At 52.7% G+C, this 16,678-nt stretch overlaps 1 protein-coding gene, 1 long non-coding RNA gene and 1 other non-coding gene across 9 annotated transcripts in view, besides 1 other annotated feature; 2 read left to right on the top strand and 1 right to left on the bottom strand.

The window, feature by feature from the left end:
• The window catches only part of CHRDL2 (chordin like 2), a 34,998-nt gene that overhangs the window by 13,163 nt on the left and 5,157 nt on the right, over positions 1-16,678 (top strand). For 2 of the 7 annotated variants that reach the window (NM_015424.6, NM_001304390.2), the window contains 8 exons: positions 4,785-4,878; positions 7,273-7,415; positions 9,869-9,962; positions 11,722-11,777; positions 13,610-13,778; positions 14,765-14,959; positions 15,297-15,470; positions 16,618-16,672. In NM_015424.6, the coding sequence (NP_056239.3) occupies positions 4,785-4,878; positions 7,273-7,415; positions 9,869-9,962; positions 11,722-11,777; positions 13,610-13,778; positions 14,765-14,959; positions 15,297-15,470; positions 16,618-16,672 (980 nt within the window). Of the gene's footprint in view, positions 1-4,784; positions 4,879-6,896; positions 7,416-9,868; positions 9,963-11,721; positions 11,778-13,609; positions 13,779-14,764; positions 14,960-15,296; positions 15,471-16,617; positions 16,673-16,678 lie in introns of those variants that run through there. The other 5 variants (NM_001278473.3, NM_001304391.2, NM_001304417.2 and 2 more) reach the window with 5 other exon arrangements.
• LOC124900308 (small nucleolar RNA SNORD43) lies at positions 1,515-1,577 on the top strand. The gene has a single exon (XR_007063002.1). It is a non-coding gene; the product is annotated as a small nucleolar RNA SNORD43 (small nucleolar RNA).
• Positions 10,151-10,995: an enhancer, noted in NCBI's record as "H3K4me1 hESC enhancer chr11:74418314-74419158 (GRCh37/hg19 assembly coordinates)". NCBI's record gives its function as "activates a minimal SCP1, AML or CMV promoter by ChIP-STARR-seq in naive H9 embryonic stem cells {active_cell/tissue: H9 hESC(naive)}" and the evidence as "EXISTENCE:reporter gene assay evidence [ECO:0000049][PMID:30033119]".
• Positions 12,686-13,615, bottom strand: LOC124902714 (uncharacterized). The gene is made up of 2 exons (XR_007062777.1): positions 13,481-13,615; positions 12,686-12,855 (listed from the first exon to the last, which is right to left on the bottom strand). It is a non-coding gene; the product is annotated as an uncharacterized LOC124902714 (long non-coding RNA).

The raw sequence follows: 16,678 nt of genomic DNA, 5'->3' as shown, positions 1-16,678 counted from the left end.
CCTCCACCTGGAAGGATTTTCTTCTTCTGGGATCCCACATAAGTTTCTCTGCCCCTTTCTCCTGATCATTGTTGACCAGGCAACATAGTTACTGCCCCTCCTAGACTGAACCTCTGAGGCTAGGACTTGCTGGGCCCTCACTCACACCTGGCATGATTCCCTGCCAAAGGCTGAGCCACCTGGGGTAGAGACCATGTTTTTGTTTTCCATCTCCTCCCACCCCATCGCACCCCATGACAATCCAGCACCTCCACAGGGCCTTGTAAAATCAACTGGGTAGAATAAATGAGACCCCCATGTGGTCCAGAATTCACAAGTAAGGTATGAGATTGGAGGGGCGGAAGAGGAGGAAGTGGCTTAGGAGGCCTGAAAAACCCTTGGCTTTAGCTCAGCTGCCTGGAGCCCAGTGTGGATGTCCCCAGCTTTCTTTGTCTGGGTGTTGGTGCTTGGAGGGAGGGGTAGCTAGCTCCCAGCCCGAGCCAGCCTCCCAGCCCCACTCTTTCCCTGCACAGAGCCAAGAGAGGAATGCAGAAGGCCTCTAAGAGTCTCCCTTGTTAAAACAGAACCCTCTGGGGTGGGAGCAGACAGAGCTCTGGAGGAGATCCTGTGGGGTGGCGGAGAGGGTGGCTAGCCCCCCTCCTGACTTTGACACTGGGGTCTCACTCCTCCTGGGGTCTTTCCTCCTGACTCACCACTGCTTCTACCGTGTTGGCCCCAAGTAGAAATGGGGACACAACCCCCACCATGACTGCCTCCCCTCGGTTTGCCTTAGCACATCTGAGGCCAATCAGCCTTTTCAAGAAGGACTTTATGAAATATAGCCAGAGAACAGAAAGGAAATCATAACAGAAAATTCCAGACATATCATGTGGTCCAGTTGACAAAGTCCAAGTTTTTTGAGCCATTGGAGTTAATTCATTTCTCCTTTCACAGAGTTCACATACAGTTTCCTCAACCCAGAGGACTTTTGCTGGTATCTGCAAAATATACCCTCAATCCCTCCACTTCTCTCCACCATCACTGCTCCCCCTAATCCAAGCCACCATCATCTGTCATCTCTTTCCTGGGCTGCCACACAAGCCTCCTAACAGGTCTTCCTGTTTCCCCCCCTAAATCCATCCTCCACGCGGCAGTGAGAATGGTTTTTTTTTTTTGTTTGTTTGTTTGTTTGAGACAGGGTCTCGCTCTGGCACCCAGGCTGGAGTGCAGTGGTGCGATCTCAGCTCACTGCAGCCTTGACTTCCCAGGCTCAGACAATCCTCCCACCTCAGCCACCTGAGTAGCTGGGACCACAGGTGTGTGCCACCATGCCCAGCTAATTTTTGTTATTTTTTGTAGAGACAGGATTTCATCAGGTTGCCCAGGTTGGTCTCAAACTCCTGAGCTCGAGAAACCCACCTGCCTCAGCCTCCCAAAGTGCTGGGATTACAGGAGTGAGCCACTGTGCCCTGTGAGAATGGTCTTTTCTCAGCATGAAACTGATCATGTCATTCTGCTCTTAAAACCCTCCAGTAACAGATGATGAACTCATTGACAGACATACAGAGACTGTGTGCTGATTGTCATGTTCTGACTTAGGGAAAAAAAGAGAGAAAAGAAAAAAAAAAACCTCTAATAGCTTTTCATTGGACCTAAAGTAAAATTCAAATTCCCCGCTGAGGGCTCTGCTTCTGTCTTATTCTCCAATTTCTTTTCTTTTCTTTCTTTTTTTTTTTTTTTTTTTGGAGATGGAGTCATGCTGTCACCAGGCTACCAGGCTGGAGTGCAGCGGTGCAATCTTGGCTCACTGCAACCTCCGCCTCCCAGGTTCAAGCGATGCTCCTGCCTCAGCCTCCCAAGTAGCTGGGACTACAGGCACCTGCTGCCACGCCCAGCTAATTTTTATATTTTTAGTAGAGATGGGGTTTCACCATGTTGGCCAGGATGATCTCCATCTCTTGATCTCATGATCTGCCCTCTTTGGCCTCCCAAAGTGCTGGGATTACAGGCATGAGCCACCACGCCTGGCCTTATTCTCCAATTTCATTTCATACCTGCTCACTCTGCTGCAGCCACACTGACCTCTGTCGGTTTTTCCAACACTTGAACCTCATTCCAACTTGTTTCCTCCACTTGGAATGTTCTTCCCTCAGATCTTCTCACGAACAGTTCCTTCTCATCTCCCAGTTCATAACACAAATGTTTCCTCCTTATAAAGCCTTCCCTGACAGCTGTTTCTAACAGTCTACCCCTATTAATGAAATAATATTCCTCTATTTATTTATTTATTATTTATTTATTTATTTTGAGACAGAGTCTCGCTCTGTCACCCAGGCTGTAGTGCAGTGGCACGATCTCGGCTCACTGCAAACTCTGCCTCCCAAGTTCAAGTGATTCTCGTGCGTCAGCCTCCCGAGTAGCTGGGATTATAGGCATGCACCACCACGCCCGGCTAATTTTTGTATTTTTAGTAGAAACGGGTTTTACCATGTTGTCCAGGCTGGTCTCAAACACCTGACCTCAAACAATCTGCCCGCCTTGGCATCCCAAAGTGCTGGGATTACAGGTGTGAGCCACCACGCCAGGCCCTCTATTTTATTATATATCATAAATTTAACATCTGAAATCTTCTTGTTCCTACTTGCTTACTTTTTTTTTTCTTTTTCTTTTTTCTTTTTTTTTGAGTTGGAGTCTCGCTCTGTCGCCCAGGCTGGAGTGCCATGTCGTAATCTCGGCTCACTGTAACCTCTGCCTCCCAGGTTCAAGCAATACTTCTGCCTCAGCCTCCCAAGTAGCTGGGATTACAGGCACACCACTACTGCCCGGCTAATTTTTGTATTTTTAGTAGAGACGGGGTTTTGCCATGTTGGCCAGGCTGGTCTCAAACTCCTGACCTCAAGTGATCCTCCCACCTCGGCCTCCCAAAGTGCTGGGATTACAGGCGTGAGCCACTGTGCGTGGTCCTTGCTTACTTCTTTAATAGTCTATCTTTCACTGTTAGGATGTGAGCTCCGGGAGGGCAGAAACCTTGTTGGTCCCACTAATTCCTAGTGCTCAGAAGAAGGCCTGGCACCCAGTAGACCTGCAGCAAGTATTGAGCGTGAATGAGTCCACGTCTACCCACCAGAGGCAGCTCAGCATCGTGGAAAGTACACGGGCCCTGGTGACAGTTTTTACATGCTTTGTGATCTCAGGCAACTTAACCTTTCAAGGCTCTTTTCTCATTTAGAAAGTGTGACTAATAGTATAGTATCTACCTCTAGGGGTGTTGAGAAGACGAAGTGGGATGATTTTTATATAACGTAAAGGCCCTACCTCAGTAGCCACTCAATAAATGGAGGCTATGACTTTCCTGAGAAGTTCCCTGTGACTGCAAAGGGCTTTTCCAGGTGCCTCACCTGCCCTTTCACCGCTAACCTGTCTCCATCCTGTTTCCTGCTTCGTGGTGCTAATAATCATCGCCATCCTTGGCTCCTTCGAGGCCAGAATCAAGAGACCGATTCTAACTCTTCAGGCCACACAGTCCCTTGCACTCCATCCTAGTTTCTCATCTGGGAACCTCAGATGTCTAGTGTCTGGTTTATCCTCTAGACATTTATTAAGCACCCATGTGCGTTGGGCCTCTAGAAGGCCCCTATTAGAGCTCAGACCAATTCTGTGGACTCTGGGATTCCCCTTAACACTGACTAGTTCTCGCGATTACCTCTGGCCATCTTGGGAAGCAGTGACCCCAGAAGGCGTAGGGCCAGTCAAGGGTCTTCCATGGGGCAAGAGGCTGCCTCTGGGAGAAGTGCTATCAGGGAACTCAGGTCCAGGGAGAGGGCAGGAGGAAGGAACCAGGGGGAGAAGCGGGGCTAGAAACAAACTTCGCCAACTTCAGAATTGTGAACAAAGCGGGCTTCCTTCATCTAGGAGAGGACCATCAACCCCTCCTTTCCTTACTCTCATTTATTCACTCACTCATGCATCCATTCAGACTCCAGCAGCCACTAACTTGGAGCAAGGCCCCATTCTTTGGAATTCGTGGTTGAATCGGTGACACAGGTGTAAATGGTTCATCACAATGCAGCAGAGTGACCCTTGTAACAGAGTGAAGAACAAGGTGCGGGAAGGCTGAGGGGCCAAAAAAAAAACTGCCTGGAGAGCTGGGAAGACCCCCACGAGGGGTGGTGGCCACTCTGCCTCGGTTTCTGCTTGTCTCTCTCTGCGTATGTTCGCCTGCCCAATTCTCTCGCTTGCTATGCTTAAAAAAGAGAAGGAACTTCAGGCCCCTCCTTCTCTGGTGCCAACTCCAAAGGCTTTGTCCAGGATTACCCAAACCTCCCAGAGATTTAGGGGGTGGATCATAAAGCCATCCGTCTTCTCCACATGAGGTTTTCAGTCTCACACCCCCTCCCAGTCACCTGTCCTCATGTTTCATTCCTTTCTTGACCACAAGGCTCAGGCCCAGAGTTAAAAGGACCAAGCCCTAGAGTTAAAATAGTGCAGTCAAAGCATCAAGATCAATGTCAAACAACTCTAGGCTTACATGTCTTTCTCTGGGAAGGGGACAGTGTTTAAGCAAGTCCATGACCAGAACTGACCTCCTTCAGGGTAGGGGAGGCACATGGATATGTGGGCCAAGTGAGATCCCCTTGGTGGGCAGGAATGGGGAGGAACCGGGCACACTTAATTGTTTTCAGTCCAATCACAGGCTTACGACAAGTTCAGACTTCTGCAGTTGGGGTGGGAGTTTTGGGAAAGGACAGGTACAGGTGGAAGACGATGGTTCTTTGAACCAGGGCTGACCCTTGTGTCCCCTTCAGGGCGCCCATGTGAGTTGTTACCGCCTCCACTGTCCGCCTGTCCACTGCCCCCAGCCTGTGACGGAGCCACAGCAATGCTGTCCCAAGTGTGTGGGTAAGTAGCCATGCTCCTCCCCATCGTCCATGGACCTTTCTCCTACTCCCAGTGTAGCCCTCTAGCTGAGGGAGACCCCTGCAAGGAGAGGGGCAGTCTCTACCCATCAGAGGTGTAGACACACAAAGGTGCTCAAGGGAGGAAATATCCCAGATCCCCAGGCAGTGCTGGGGTAGCAGAGACTTCATGTCCTTAAGTAGGTGTGCATGGCAGGGGAGGGAGGACATGCAGAAAGGAGCTGCAGGAAACAGGGCCTTGCTTGGGCTGCTGACTGGCACACTTAGGCTCCAGTCTCCCTTGGGCCTTCCAGAGCTGGAGGGTGTGGGCGCAGTCTGGGAAGTGAAGGTGAGTGATCTTGGGCTTGAAGGTCCTAAGGGGAGACCCCAGAATTACCACTGGGGGAGCTCAGAAGGACTAAAGGAGTCAGGCCCTGTTCTCTGAGATTCCTCCCACTGCTGAGATTCAGGGACTCTATGTGTCCTGATGCTAAATGTCTATGATTCCATGATTTTAAGATTCTAAGAGCCTCTGAGAATAAGATTCTAGGAAGAAGAAGTCAGAGAAAGGAGAGGTGGTCTAGGAAGAAACTGGCAAAACCAAGTGTCCAGTGAGGGGCAGCCAGAGGGGAGGCCAACTTGGAGGTGGGAGGGGAGGTTGAGAGGAAAATTGATGTTTAGAAGCATCAAGAAAGTGGTGAAGAAGAGGCTCCAGATTTTGGCCTCGGGTCGGGGCTCTGGAATCAGGACTTTCCTGGTGAGCTGGTATGGAGTGGGGCTCATTTTCCAGGGGGGAGCCCAGTAGGGATCTGACTCGTGGCCCCTACATGGGTCATAGAGATTCCTGGCTGTGGGTCCCCGGGGGGACAGTGGCTCTCAGCTTCATCCTGCACAGTGAGGGAGTGTCCTCATGTCTGATGCCGACTCTGGGGGGCCTCACCTCTCCTTGCTGACTTTGGGATTTTCCCCTGTGCTTGGCCCAGGCCTCTTGTTGCTAAAACACTCTTCACTCCCTCTCTCTTCCCATCCCCTGCCCCTGTGCCTGCTTGGCTCCACAGTTCTTCAAGACTCTGCTCACCGTTGCCATGCCATCGGCCCTTCAGGAAGCCTTCCCTGGCCATTCCTCCCCGGCTGAGTTAGAGGCTCCTCCTCTCTGCTGTCACAACTTCTGTGCTTCCATCCACCCTAGCCCTCACCTGCTACAGCATCATTGCTTGTGGCTTGTCTTTCTGCCTAATTAGATTTCAAACTTCTTTTTTAAAAATTAAAAAAAAAGTTCTGGCCAGTCACGGTGGCTTGTATCTGTAATCCCAGCACTTTGGGAGGCCGAGGCGGGCGGATCACAAGGTCAAGAGATTGAGACCATCCTGGCCAACATGGTGAAACGCCATCTCTACTAAAAATACAAAAAAATTAGCTGGATATGGTGGCATGTGCCTGCAGTCCCAGCTACTCAGGAGGCTGAGGCAGGAGAATTGCTTGAAGCTGGGAGGTGGAGGTTGCAGTGAGCTGAGATCGTGCCACTGCACTCCAGCCTGGTGACAGAGCAGGACCCTCTCTCAAAAAAAAAAGAAAAAAAGGAAAAAAAATTTAAAAAATGTTGCCCAGGCCAGTCTCGAACTCCTAGAGTCAAGTGATCCTCCCACCTCAGCCTCCCAAAGTGCTGGGATTATAGGCGTGAGCCACCTCACCCGTAATTTTTGAGTCTGAGTTTCTTGGTGGCAAGGGCTAAATCTTACTCATTGCTCCATTCCCAATGCCTAGCATGGTGCGTAGAACAGAGGAGTGCTTAGTCAAGGGGTCTTGAATGAATGAGTGGGCTCTCTCAGGACCAGAGGCTTACCCCTCCACCTGGCAGGATGAGGACGGACTGATGGGCAGGTGATGGGGAGGGGGGCTCTGGGGGCCAGTGAATGACAGGAGTTTACCCAAGCACAGGGACAATCATGCCAGCTGGCACCACTAGAATGTAACCCTGTGAGGGCAGGGACTCTTTTGCTCACTGCTGTATCCCCAGCACCTAGAACAGTGCCTGGCACTGAGAAGTGCTCCATGAACCCTCATTAAATGCTGGATGAACTAACTCGGGCCCCACTGAGCGGAAGCTGAGGCTGCCGGCTTTACCTTCTTGCTCTGGTTGGGGCTGGCCCAGACACTGAGGGGGCTGGAGGGCTGTGGTAGAGGTCATGGGAGGGAGGGACTCAGTCAGATGTAGGTATCAGAGGGACCTCTTAGTTAGCTGATAAGGGGAATGGCTGGCAAGGCCCAGGCCAGAGCTTGGTTTAAATATCAAGCTGGGGTCAAATGCAAAATCATCAGAAAAGTGGCCTTGTTAATTTCAGCAAAGATTCACATGAAACCTCATTTTCTTCTTCCTCCTGCCCCTCCCCCACTGCAGAACCTCACACTCCCTCTGGACTCCGGGCCCCACCAAAGTCCTGCCAGCACAACGGGACCATGTACCAACACGGAGAGATCTTCAGTGCCCATGAGCTGTTCCCCTCCCGCCTGCCCAACCAGTGTGTCCTCTGCAGCTGCACAGTAAGAACTCCTGCCTTCCCTTCAGCACAGGCCAGCGCTCTGGGCCTGCAAAGAACATAGTAGCCTGGACTGCGGACTGGGGGGATTGTTCCTCCTGGCCAAAGCAAAATGAATGGGCTCAGGGGAAAGGGAATATCTGGGGTTTGGAATGTCCTGTCCCTAGCTGGGTCAGGTGACCATTCTCTGAGCTTCCACACCTTCCTGAGCCTTCTGTTTCCCCCAGTAGACGCTGCATTCCTTGAGGGGAGGAAACATATGTTTTTCATTTCTTTATCCTCTGCTGTCAGTCCAGGGCCTAAAGCACAAAAGACATCTGTAATGATTATTGAATGAGAGAATGAATACGCAAATGATCAGTTATCAGTCCTGGGGGACAGAGACAGGGCCAGATTATCTGTAGCAAATGGAAATTAATCTGAAGCTACTTAAACTCCTCCTGCCTATTGTTAGAGCTGGACCTCCGGGCAGGCAGGGCTGACTCGGCAGTGTTATCATGGGACAGAGACTGAAGCTAAGCAGGGCCTCCTCTGGAAAGTCTTCAGCCTCCTCCTTGTAAGGGAACTGGGGTGTAGGCATGGCCTTCCTATAGGTTTGCAGGTGGCTTTCCGCGTGTCATTTTTTTTTTTTTTTTTTGAGACGGAGTCTTGCTCTTTCACCCAGGCCGGAGTGTAGTGGCGTGATCTCGGCTCACTGCAAGCTCCGCCTCCCGGGTTCATGCCATTCTCCTGCCTCAGACTCCCGAGTAGCTGGGACTACAGGCGCCCACCACCACGCCCAGCTAATTTTTTGTATTTTTAGTAGAGTCGGGGTTTCACCGTGTTAGCCAGGATGGTCTCGATCTCCTGACCTCGTGATCTGCCCGCCTCGGCCTCCCAAAGTGCTGGGATTACAGGCGTGAGCCACCGCGCCCAGCCCAGCATGTCATTTTTAACCCTGGGCTTGGCAACTCATCCGTGAATTGGCAGGAGAAGTCCCTGCCCTCCCGATTTATTTACTACCTGATCACCACACTTGGGCCTCAGTTCCTCTGAGTGCGTAAGGGAGTCTGACCAAGTGATCATTAATGTTCTCTCCAGACTAGTATCAGAAACCTGTGTTTGATCTCCAGCACTGTCCCAGTTCCCTGTGTGACCTCAAACAAGTCACTTCTTTTGGGCCTGCCTCCCTATCTTTTCAGTGACAGGGTCCCATCAGTCTGAGTCTTTGAATCTTAAAGTTTCTGTGCTGCAGAGCAAACAGCCTGCAAATAATGAGGAGTGACTACTTATAAATCAACCTAGTAAGCAATTACCTTTTGCAGGGTGTGAGCCTTTTGCAGTGGTCTAGTCTGTTGTGTCACCAGGTTCATAGAAATGCCTGGTTTATAGACAGTACCCGAATGACCCTAGGAGAAGGATATCACTATTTCTGTTTTCCAGATGAGGAAACGGGCTCAGAATAGTTAAGTGACTTGCCTGAGATCACACAGCTAGTAAGTGACAGAGCCAGAATTCAGACCCAAGGCCACCTGGCTCCAAAGCCAATGTTCTTTTCCCTGTGTCCTGCTGCCTCCCCTGAAGGGATGAGGCCTGGATGAGGAGGGGGCTGTGGCGAGAGACAGAAATGCTGGGTGGTGGGTGGTGAGAGCATTCCCAGGATTCCTCTGTTCATTCTCCCTGGGTACTTGGGCCTCCCCTTCTTCCTTCTCATCCCTGATTATATGAGGCTGGCTTTTCTTCTGGCCTCACCCGAGGGACCGGAACACTCACTTCTCAGACCCTCTGGAAAGGGAACAGGGAAAGGTCTCAGGGCAATAGTGCTTCCCCCCAGGCACGTTGTGCCTTGTGCTTTTCACAGCCATTCCCTCACTGGATCTTCACACCCCAAATGGGTGTGACCCCACTTCACAGAGGAGGAATCTCAGGCCCAGAGGAAAGAAGTGACCACCAATGGTCACCTGGCCCCTGACCCCCAGAAGGCCCCTTCCCCTGCAGTCTTGCCTTTCAAGGCTGGATCCCAAAGTTGGAAACCAAGGGCTTTCAGTAAAGAGCAAGATGAGCCCAGGTATCACCCACCTGTCCCCCTCCCATGATGTTGATTTCAGTGGGAAAAGCTTGAAGACTGGGCCCCAACTGTCTTTCTAACCTGAGATGGCTCAGGCCCCGCTCCGGCTCCTCATTTGTAGGATAGGGAGATTCCCGCCTTACCAGGCAGCAGCTAGGGACAGCCTGGCTGTGAGTGAGTCAGAAGCTGAAGGCTGGATGTTACCTGCAGGGCCTGGAAGTGGGGCTGGGAGGGCACGGGGGACCCCTCCTCTGAGCTGGCCGGGCCTTGCTGTGGAGATGCTGTTGCTTCCCCTCCCCACCATAGGAGAGACCTCAAGGCCATTTGCTCCCAGGGAAGGGGGTGTTCCTAGCCCCCAAGGCTAGCCCTTATCAGAGCTCATTTCCCAGCTGGTTTGCTCTATCTGTCAGGAGGGCCAGATCTACTGCGGCCTCACAACCTGCCCCGAACCAGGCTGCCCAGCACCCCTCCCGCTGCCAGACTCCTGCTGCCAGGCCTGCAAAGGTGAGTCTGTCCCTCCATCTGGCAGCACTCACCCACCCCTCCACTCCATGGGCCTAGCCATGGACTGTGAGAGCCGTGAGGAACTGCAGGTGACACCCAGCATGTAGCAGACGGCTCTTTCCTCCAGGGTGTGGCTTAGCCTGCACCCCCCAGAAAGCAGAGCCTGGCAGAAGCTGATGTGTTACTTATTTTTATTGCAGTCATTGGGGGAGGAAAGAGGGAAAGGCAGAGTGAAGAAGGTAAAGAGAGAGAAGCAATACAGGAATATGTCCAGGGGCTGGCCTCTGCTTGCTAACCAAGCAAAAGTGACCTATTGCTCTAAGTAGTCTCTGCTTCTCAGAAAAGTCTGGGCGTGGTAGAGGAAGCAGTAAGAATGTGTCCACCAGCCACCAACTATCTCTCCATTGAGCCCAAAGCTCATCCATGTGTGGGACTTCCCTGCTGTGCATGCATGGGTGGGTGCTAAGTAGCCCTGGGAGCAGAGGCAGGAGTGGGCTGGGGTAAGGAGTGGGCGCAGGGGATGTGGACAGGAGCTGCGGGCTTGAGGGAGGGGCACTGTGAGGCTGAGCCTGAGGGAAGTGTTGGGGAGCCCGTGCAGGGGGGCTGCTGCTGCAGTGCCTGCCATGGGGGGACAAAGTCCCTGCAAGCAGATGAGCTGAGAGAACCATAAGTGGCACGTGAGAGGGGTCTAGTACAGGTAAGGACTACGTCTCATCCTGCCTTCCTGACGGCAGAGCTGGTCACAGTATTGGGCTCACCAGGGCTCAGAACATGTCTTTTATACAGAACCCAGGTAGAACCTCTTATAAAGCAGGGAGGCAACACATCAGCTAGCAAAGGGCAGGCTAAGCGTGAGCAGAATGAAATGGTCGGACTGTTCCCTGCAGGCTGAGGTAGTCAAGGAAAGCCTCCTGGAGGAGGTGGCACTCAGGTAGGGGAGTGCTCCACAGTGGATGCATCCCCAGATGTTTGCATTTTGGAAGGAGCACTGGACTAGGAATCAGGTGACTCCAGTTTAGTCCTGGTTCTTCCAGCTAACTCCATAAATTCCTTCCCTTCTCTGGGCCTCAGTTGTGCCCTGTGATTTCTAACACAGTCTAATTCCAATGTTCTGGGTCTTTGAAACGGGAATGATTGGTGGGAATCAGACTGTGGAGTGAGGCAAGAGATAGGGAGAGAGAGGCCCACTCGGGTTTAGGAAGCTGCAGGGCTCCAAACGGCTTTGTGTGCTGGTTTCCCAGGGGAATAGGGACTGGCAGGGTGCTCAGGCTGGAGGGGCGAAGGGGCTGGAGTGTAGGGTCCTGGGAGTGTAAACCAAGGCCTGCTGACTTCAAGTGTGGCTGCCCAGGAAACTGCATCTATGCAGGCTGCAGGGATGGGATTCTGGGCCTTTGGGCCATCCATGGTAAATACTGAAAGGTATGGCCCAGTGTCCCAGAGAGGTGAGTTTCAGTAAGGACCAAACAAGATGCTCTGTTTCAAGGACTTCAGTCCTAATGGTTACCAGGAGGTCAGTACAGGGAAACTGAGGCAGCAACCCAGTTGTAGGGGACTTCATCAACCCAACCAGGATGAAGAGAGGCTGTAATGGGAAGTGGAAGAAGTCCCCACTGGGGCAAAGGAGCTGGCTAGTGGGCTGGGGCTGCAGATGGGACAGCAGGCCTTGGGAATGGACAGAGCCTATAGGTGGAGGCCTCAGGGCTCTAGCCAGCAAGGCTGGGGAGCCTGAGGCTGACCCAGCTTCCCTTTGAGTTTTCAGATGAGGCAAGTGAGCAATCGGATGAAGAGGACAGTGTGCAGTCGCTCCATGGGGTGGTGAGTGCACGGCCTTATTGACGGGGTGCGGGACAGGGGGCTGGGATCCAGGGCCTAAATCTCGTGACTCTGGGGCAGGCAATACCAGTTATTGTCCTCATTTCTTGTTTGTCCCCTGGGTTGGCTACATGAACATCCACTATATTCCAGCCCCTCTCCCTAGCCTCCCATCATGGGTCCCATCATGGTTGATGGATAAGGAGTGGCCTGGGGGAAACAGGTCACCACGCAGGGCAGCAGCAGGCCCCAAACTTCCTCACTTTCCTCTTGAGAAACACTTTGACACTGTTCCATCTACAGCCTGTGTCTCCCCTTAATTCAGGCAACCTTCTTCCCAGGGAATGGCCTCTAACTTGGGCCAGCCTTCCCCACCCAGTTCCTGAGGTACTGGCTCTTTAGAGCCTGCCTCTCTGTACCCCCCTGTATCTTGGCCCCTCTCAAGCTTGGTCTAGGTTAAGATGGGCTTAGCTGGACAGCTGTCTCTGATCTGAGAGGAAGGAGATAGAGAATCACACATTGATTCAAGTCCCTGATGGGTCCTCTCTGCTATGTCTGCCACATGAACAACTCCACCTGCTATTTCAGCCTGGGTCTCCTGGTCTCCGGGAGACTAGAGGCTGCCTCCCCTTCCCAGAGATTCCCCAGAAGCCTGAGCCCATGTCCACACCCTTCTCCTCTGCCAGCTCATCCTGCTGCCCTCCCCACCCAGGCAAGGCCTTCTCAGGTGGGGGCCTGAGACCTGAGAGCTGAGGGTACCACAGGACCTAAGCCATTCCCTCCACTTTCCTTCCTGTCCTCTTCCTAGGAGGCAGTGCGTAAGTGAAACCCACCCAGGCTGAGTTCCAGGCTCTGATCAGCTACTTACTGACGGGCTGGGTGACTGGAGCAAGCATTAGGAGACTGAGCTGTTTGATTCCCTCTTGCCTTTATTCCACTCAACACACATCTCCCAGGAGTGTCCTATCTGCCTGAGCCCGTGCTGGGGCCTGGGACAGTTTCCACTCTGGGAGCTCTTGTGAGCTCAGGCTCTGGGCCATCGGAGAACTGATGCAGGGACTGTACCAGGCAGGAATGGGCTCTAGAAGAAGGAATGTGTGTGGCTCCAGGTCAGCGAGGGAGGTAATAGGCTCTGGTCCCTGCCCCAAGCCCACTTGCTCCTCTCCTGTGGCCGGGAGCTGCCCAGTCCCCAAACTCTGAGCTGTCCTCGCCACACTCCTATTGCTGTCACTGACAGCCCTCTCAAGACCTGGTCTGGAGGGACAGGGTCTGGGGGTTTTGGATCCCAGGGGTTCAGGAAAGAGAGCCTAAGCTTCAGAGACCCTTTGTCTCTGGATGGGGCCTGCTCTTGGTCTTCACGCCCCATGGGATTCTGGGGCCTGCCTGATGCCATCTTCAGAGGGCCATCCCCTTGTCCAGCCACCAACTAAATCTCCGCAAAGGAGAACTGCCTGCCGTGCATCCTCACTGCATGCTCACCTTCTGTTTCCCAAATATGAAGTTCTCCCTGATCAGTTACGTCTGTCAGATCAAGACCTCAGCACCCTCTGCCCACCCCAACCCCAAGGCCCCTGGCTCTGACAAGGCCCAAGAAGGGCTTCGTGGAGGCCAGATTTCCAAATCACTATCCTCTGAGAGTTTTCAAAGATCGAACTGTCTGAAAACATCTTAGACCTCATCCAGATCTTTCTATCCCTGGTCTCTACCTTCTCTTCTCTGGGAAGTCATGCTGGGGTCTCCCCACAGCCTCTTGCTGCAGCCTGTCTTGCTGTTCTGGCTCCAGCTGGGGCCTGCTATGCTCAGTCAGTGACTTTCATCCTTCCTGCCATTTGCAGAGACATCCTCAGGATCCATGTTCCAGTGATGCTGGGAGAAAGAGAGGCCCGGGCACCCCAGCCCCCACTGGCCTCAGCGCCCCTCTGAGCTTCATCCCTCGCCACTTCAGACCCAAGGGAGCAGGCAGCACAACTGTCAAGATCGTCCTGAAGGAGAAACATAAGAAAGGTGGGGACTGGACCCTCCTCCAATCTGTGAGGCAGGGAAGGGGGGCCCTGACTGCTCCCACCTCCCACCCCCAACCCCCTGAACCCTCTCCTCAGCAGTTCCCTAATTCCAACTTGGCCATGAGCTTGTAGACTCGGAGAACGCCAAAACTGAATGAGGGTGCTCTTAAAGATCATCAGGTTCAAACCCCCATTTGACAGATGAGGACACTGAGGTTCAGAGTATTGAGTAAGAGACAACTAGTTCTGGAACAGTACAAGATTTTTTTTAGCATCTACCGAGTCTTTGCTGGGAAGAGGGGCAGACAGAACAGATAGATGGGAAATGGAAAATGGTCTCTGCCCTTGAGGGGCTCATAGACTAGTTGGGAAGACAGACAAGTAAATAAATGACTTTAATATAAGGAAGTGTGCTGAGGGACAGTTTTTGACAAAGGAAGGAGGGAGCAGAGCGAGGCTGCAGGAGGACAGTGGGGATGAAGTAGAGAAGGTGGCCAGATGGGCAGCCATGGCCACAGAAGGGGAGAAAAGAGACCTCCTTGCAGGGTGCCCTGATGGCTGGAGAAGGAAGAGCTATGGGGCTACTGAGTCCTGGCCCTGCCTTGTTCAGATGGGACACTGAGGCAGAGGGGGGAAAGGGACCTGCCAGGGCTCACATGACCAGGTGATGACGAAAGTTGACCTCAGTTCTCCTACCACAAGATCAGCACTCTCCTTGCTCCCGCAGAAGTGCCCTGAAGGGTGAGGGAGGACTCTTCATCTTCAGTAAGTTCCTTCTGGGCCCATCTCAGCTCTGAGTGCTGCAGTGGGCAGTGTCAGGGAGAGGGGACAGGTTTTATACCCTGGCCTATGCTTTGCAGGCAGTGTGGCTAGGCAGGACTGGTAAAGTGAGGGCTCCCCAAGGGCCCACCCCACCCGCTGCTGGACCAGAGGCCCTGGCCAGGTCTGAGGCCCTGATCCTCCTTCCTTCTCACCCTCCTTATTCAGCCTGTGTGCATGGCGGGAAGACGTACTCCCACGGGGAGGTGTGGCACCCGGCCTTCCGTGCCTTCGGCCCCTTGCCCTGCATCCTATGCACCTGTGAGGATGGCCGCCAGGACTGCCAGCGTGTGACCTGTCCCACCGAGTACCCCTGCCGTCACCCCGAGAAAGTGGCTGGGAAGTGCTGCAAGATTTGCCCAGGTACACAGGGGCACTGGGAGCAAGGAGGGCGCTGGCCAGAGTGAGCCCTGGGTCTCTCTCCCCAGGGCCACAGACACTTGGAGCATCTCAGACATGGAAGGGCATGCATCGGTGCCACAGGATGCAGGGCATGTCAGACACACAGGAGTGGAAAATGTCAGATGAAAATATTAAATGGATAGAACCATGCGGTGTCAGGATAATAGATTCAGAGGTTGTTAACATAGAATCAGTAATGTTCCGGATTCCATGAAGTCACAACATTTTAGAATATTAGAGCTTTGAAGAGGTACAGCCAACGTTTATTGAACACTTCATGAGCTTCTTGTCTCTCCAGAGGACAAAGCAGACCCTGGCCACAGTGAGATCAGTTCTACCAGGTGTCCCAAGGCACCGGGCCGGGTCCTCGTCCACACATCGGTATCCCCAAGCCCAGACAACCTGCGTCGCTTTGCCCTGGAACACGAGGCCTCGGACTTGGTGGAGATCTACCTCTGGAAGCTGGTAAAAGGTGAGTGCTGGCCCACTCCCAGTGGGGTGTACCTCTGGCCAGTCCCCCTTCCCGTGCCCCAGACCCCACAGGGGCCTTAGGGACGTTTTGCTGATCAGGTGCCTCTGGCTGCCCCGCCAGGTTTAAGAGCCCCTGATTCCAAGATGCAGGAAGATAGTGAGCCTGACTGGTTCTCTACAATTCTGATAAGCTCCTCCTGCTAATGCCAAGGCTCGATAGTGCTCCCTCTCCTGGGGGGAAGGCGCTGTTGCACCTTGTGAGGAGCCAGGCAGGGAGAAATAGACAGATGTCTAATGGCAGGATTTTAGCACTGGGAGCGGGGGTCTTCTCAGGCAGGAGGGCCCTCACAGCATCCTCAGAGTAGGAGGGCCTGGAGGCTGGCTGTGTTCAGCCTTTTTAAGGTGGTGGATCTTATCACTCCCAGGTAAGTGGACATCAGAACCACAGTTCTCATTCTGTGAGAAACCCACCCTCTTCAACAATCTGCTGCTATCACCAACTGAAGGTCAAGAGGAGTTTTTTCTACTTTTTTTTTTTTTTTGAGACAGGGTCTCAGTCACCCAGGCTGGAGTGCAGTGGCATGATCTCGGCTCCACTGCAACCTCATTCTCCTGGGCTCAAACGATCCTCCCATCTCAGCCTCCTGAGTAGCTGGGACCACAGTTATGAGCCACCACGCCCAGCTAATTTTTGTATTTTTTTTGTAGAGATGGGGTTTTGCCATGTTGCCCAGGCTAGTCTGGAACTCCTGGACTCAAGCAATCCTCCGGCATCAGCCTCCCAAAGTGCTGGGATTACAGGCGTGAGCCACGACACCCAGCAGGTTTTCATCGATAAGGAAATTGCTGAAAGTTCAGTTTCGTGGCCTTTCTTGTAAAACATAAGTCCTCTGGGTAGAGTGAACTGTTAAGCCATGATCCAAATTAAACTCTTTTAAGTGTGAATTAGCTCTAAAGTTCCTTTCCTCTACTGATGGTTTTGGCTGGCGGGGTGGGGGTGGAAGAGGGAATGATGATAAGAAAAATGACAATGATAATAATAACCAATGTGTGTAGCACTTTGGAGTTTACAAAGTGCTTTCACATTCACTATCTCATTTGATCCTCAACGATCCTGAGAGTTAGATATTATTATCCCCATTTTACAGATGAGGAAACTGAGGCTCAGAGAGGTGAAGTACCTGGCCCAAGGCCACACAGCCAGTAAGT

Source organism: Homo sapiens, chromosome 11 (genome assembly GCF_000001405.40).
Source record: "Homo sapiens chromosome 11, GRCh38.p14 Primary Assembly".
Classification (NCBI taxonomy): Eukaryota; Metazoa; Chordata; class Mammalia; order Primates; family Hominidae; genus Homo; species Homo sapiens.
Note: the sequence above shows the minus strand (reverse complement) of the source record. Positions and strands in the feature narration are given on the sequence as shown.